Source organism: Homo sapiens, chromosome 18, assembly GCF_000001405.40.
Source record: "Homo sapiens chromosome 18, GRCh38.p14 Primary Assembly".
Classification (NCBI taxonomy): domain Eukaryota; kingdom Metazoa; phylum Chordata; class Mammalia; order Primates; family Hominidae; genus Homo; species Homo sapiens.
The window spans coordinates 77,208,274-77,212,460 of NC_000018.10; the positions used below are offsets into that span (position 1 = coordinate 77,208,274).

Genomic DNA, 4,187 nt, shown 5'->3' on the forward strand with positions numbered 1-4,187 from the left:
CCTTTTTTATAGTTTTTAAAAATGGTAGCTGTAGGTACTTCATTATTTATACACATCCTACATGGTCTAGTGGTGCTAGATTTTGTTAGTTCTAATACAATATGGTCACCTAAACTCTCGTTTCATACTTTCCCTCCCCCATATTATATTATAGTTTACAATATTATGTTATAGTTTATAATATGACTATCATCTTTAATACTTTCTTTACATACATTGAGAACATCAGACAGCATTATCATTTTTGCTTCCAACCATGGAACATAATTTAGAAAACTCAAGAGGAGAAGGAGTCTATTTATTTACCCATATTTTTTACTTTTGCTGTTGTTCTCACTTTCTTCCCAATATTCCAATATTGCTTCTTTTATAATTTCCCTTCTGTTTAGGAAACTTCCTCGAGCCATGCTTTGAGTAACCCTGCTGATGGCAGATTCTCTTAGTGCTCCTTCACTGGAGAATATCTCTATTTATACCCGTCCATGAGGGACATTTTCCCTGCCATAGACTTTTGGTTGACTGGCCTTTTCTCTTGGTATTTGAGACGCTTGCTACTTCCTTTTGGGTTCCATGGTTTCAAACGGAAAATTTGCACGTCCTACAAGCAATGTGTTTCTCTCTGGCTACTTTGCAGCTATTTTTCTTTGTCTTTAGTTTTTCAGACCTTTGATTATGATGTATCTTGGTATAAATTTCTTTGGGTTTACCACATTTGGAATTTTCTCAGATCCTTGAATCTTTAGTATATTTCACTAAACTTGGGAAGTTTACAGCCATTTAAAAAATATACCTTCCAGTTTCACTTTCTCTTTCCTCTGAGGATGACACAGGCTCCTGAGAGTCTGTTCTTTCTCCTCAGCCCACTTCCTCAATGCTGCTCTGAGTTGGTGACTTCTGGCCCTCGTCCAGTCTTTTGTCCTCTCGCTGTCCTGGTTGAGTCCACGCATTGAGGTTTTAGGTTTGTTTGTCTTTTGGTTATTGTGTTTTCTTGCTTTATAATTTCTTTTTTTTTTTTTCAGACCGAGTCTCACTCTGTCACCCAGCTGGAGTGAGGTGGCATGATCTCTGCTCACTGCAACCTCTGGCTCCTGGGTTCAAGTGATTCTCCTCTCTCAGCCTCTCGAGTAGCTGGGACTACAAGTGCCCACCATCGTGCCAGGCTAATTTTTGTATTTTTAGTTGAGGTGGGGTTTCACCATGTTGGTCAGGCTGGTCTCGACCTCCTGACCTCAGGTGATCCACCTGCCTTGGCCTCCCAAAGTGCTGGGATTACAGGCGTAAGCCACCATGCCCGGCCTCCTTTGGTTCTTCTTTATTCTTTTGCTAAAATTGTCTAATTTTCCATTTATTCCACGGGAATTCATACATGCTGAAGTGTATTTATGATGGTTATGTGAAGATCCTGCTCAGCTAATGATAGCCTCTGACTCATCTCCGTGTTGTCATCCATCGGTTTATTTCTCCTTCCAGTTGTGATTATCCTAGTTCTTGGTATGCTGAGTGACTTTGGATCGGAGCCCGTACATTTAGGATATCTTATGAGACTCCCGAGCTGCTGGCGTCTTCGTCTGCAGCAGGTGCTGTCCGCTGGGCTGGGTACACGTGGCACTACAGCCGCAGCAGAGCCCTGACCGTGCTGGGTGGCTGCAGGCAGGTGGGGTGATGATAACCTTCCCCTGGCCCTTCTAGTATCTTCAGGTGGATGTGGGGCTTCGGCTACACTCAGCTTCCTTGGGCCCTGCTGACCCCAGGGAGGCTGTGGGGAAGCCGGTGCCACGGCCTGCCTCCCACTGCCAGCTTTAGCCTCAGTGATGCTACACAGGGAGGGGGCTCCCTCCTCAGCCCGGTTGATACTGAGGGGAAAAAGTGGACTCAACCTGCCCCCTACCCCTTATCCTTTCTTATGGTGAGGGGCTTGCCAGGGAGGGCACAGGGCAGTGAGCAGCCCCATGTCACACTGCTTTGCTCAGGGTTGTTGCTGCCGGGTGGGGTGGAGTGGGGCTCAGCTCCACAACGGACCCACTGACATTGCCCTGGATAGGTCAGGGTGCTGCCTGCTTGTGCAGGGGGTGGGATGGAGCCAACTGATGCTCAGCGCAGCCCGAGGCCCTGGCAGGAGTGGGGGTGGGGAGGTGGAAGGTCCAGCCCTCATCGGCCCTGCTAAGAGCCTGGGGATGGGCCATGTGTGTGTCTCATGAGTCTTGCTGCAGGGGTTTCCTGTGGTTGGGCTGCTCTGTTCGTGGTCCTCTGGCTGGGGGGTGGGGGTGAATGCACGGTTTTCCTGGAGCTCCTTTTGTGTGTGTCTGTGGGTGGTCCCAGGGTTGGAGCTTCTGCAGAGCCATGTGGAATCCATGAGGGGTGGTAGGAAGCCCAGGAGCTCAGGTCCACATCCTCCCTGGAGCCTGGCTCTCCGGGCACCCTGCCTTCTTCTTCACACCCTGCAGGCTGTGCTTGCACCCATTGGCTGTGCTGTGTCTGGGATTCTTGGTCATGAGAGACAGGACTGGGGAGGAAGGGGGCAGCTACCTGTGATGGGACTGGAAGTCTTTTCCTAAATATGTGTTGAATATAGAAGTCATTTAAATCCCACCCACTGGTGTCTGGAGGGACTGCTGGTCCTGTGATGGGCTCTCCTTCCCAGGCAGTGAGGAGGCATCGTCCTGGGGAGCAGGGCTGCTGAGTGCTCCTCTCCACCAAGTTGAAATGGAAGAAGGTGTGCTCTCCTACTCACCAGAGGCCTTTTTGGTTGACAGCTTGCACCATCTCTACCCCATCTTCATGTAACTCGGAGGCCTGTAGCCCTTGGTATCTGGCTGCAGCCTCCTGACATTAGTTCAACAGAACACAGGCAGATGTTCTGAGCTTCAGGTTTGTCCTTGCCAGTTCCCTTGATTGGAAGTTGGTCTCTGTTGCTGTGCCATGCGAGTTACTGCAGTATACATTTAATAATCACATTCACAAGCTCCCTCATTGCCAGTCCTCAACACACAAAAGTACTCACTTGGCTAACTTTGAACAATGCACATTTTCCTTACTTGCACTTTGGATCACAGGATAAGAAGGCGGCAATGGTAAAAACAAAAACTCACAAAAGAAATGAAACATTTATTTCTGGGATCAAGGACCCTTCACGGAAGGGGGACCTGGTGGTCTGCAGGTTACAGCTGGAAGTCACTGCCTGCTTTGCTGTGGTGGTACCTTCTAGGATTTGGTCTTTGTGGAAGCCTCCAACTTAAAACAAAGGAGAAGAGGTGAATGTTCCGGACTGCATGCCCAAATGGAGAATCTGAGGGGAGGAGAAGAATGAAAAACTTCGAATGGGAAATTGGTTTGAAATCTATTTCCCCAAATCCACTTAACCTTAGGCCAGGAGAATATTGTATATCACAAACTAATTTTGCAAATGACATTTCAAAGATCCCTTTTTAACCTAATTTAAGTGCATTCCATTGTGATTCTCTACTAGCTGCTTGTGAATAAAAATCTAATTACTGTAGCTAGACAAATTAAAATTCTTCTGGATGGAGCAACCTTTCCTTCCTTCTTTCCTTCCTTCCTGGGAATGCCAAGGAACATTGCTTGATCTTTTAGCAAGCGAAGGCCAAGGTACACAATTATTTTGGAGGGCCTGAAAAAGTATTTCTGTTCTTGTACATTTCTGTAGAGCTGTATCTGAATTCATGGGGCTGCTGCCTCTGTAACAGCTCTGGAAAAGTTTTAACACTACAGCGGCCAGTGACTGCGCCTGCATTTCAACCATGCTGCCATCAAGTGGTCATTAAGAGACATTCTTAATGGATCTGGGCTCTTTAGTCAAGCTGGTGGGAGAAATTTCCAAGTCCTTCATTAAGAAATGTATATGTTTGGCCGGGTGTGGTGGCTCATGTCTGTAATCTCAGCACTTTGGGAGGCCAAGGTGGGTGGATCACCTGAGGTCCGGAGTTTGAGACCAGCCTGGACAACATGGTGAAACCCCGTCTCTACTATAAATACAAAATTAGCTGGGCATAGTGGCAGATGCCTATAATCTCAGCTATTTGGGAGGCTGAGGCAGGAGAATCGCTTGAACCCAGGTGGCAGAGGTTGCAGTGAGCCAAGATTGTGCCACTGCACTCCAGCCTGGGTGACAGAGCGAGACTCCATTTCAAAAAAAAAAAAAAGAAAGAAATTTATATGTTTATTAAAAA

At 47.2% G+C, this 4,187-nt stretch overlaps 1 annotated feature.

Moving 5' to 3' along the window:
• Positions 1,053-1,112: an enhancer, noted in NCBI's record as "active region_13534". NCBI's record gives its function as "activates an Ori minimal core promoter by ATAC-STARR-seq in GM12878 lymphoblastoid cells {active_cell/tissue: GM12878}" and the evidence as "EXISTENCE:reporter gene assay evidence [ECO:0000049][PMID:35858748]".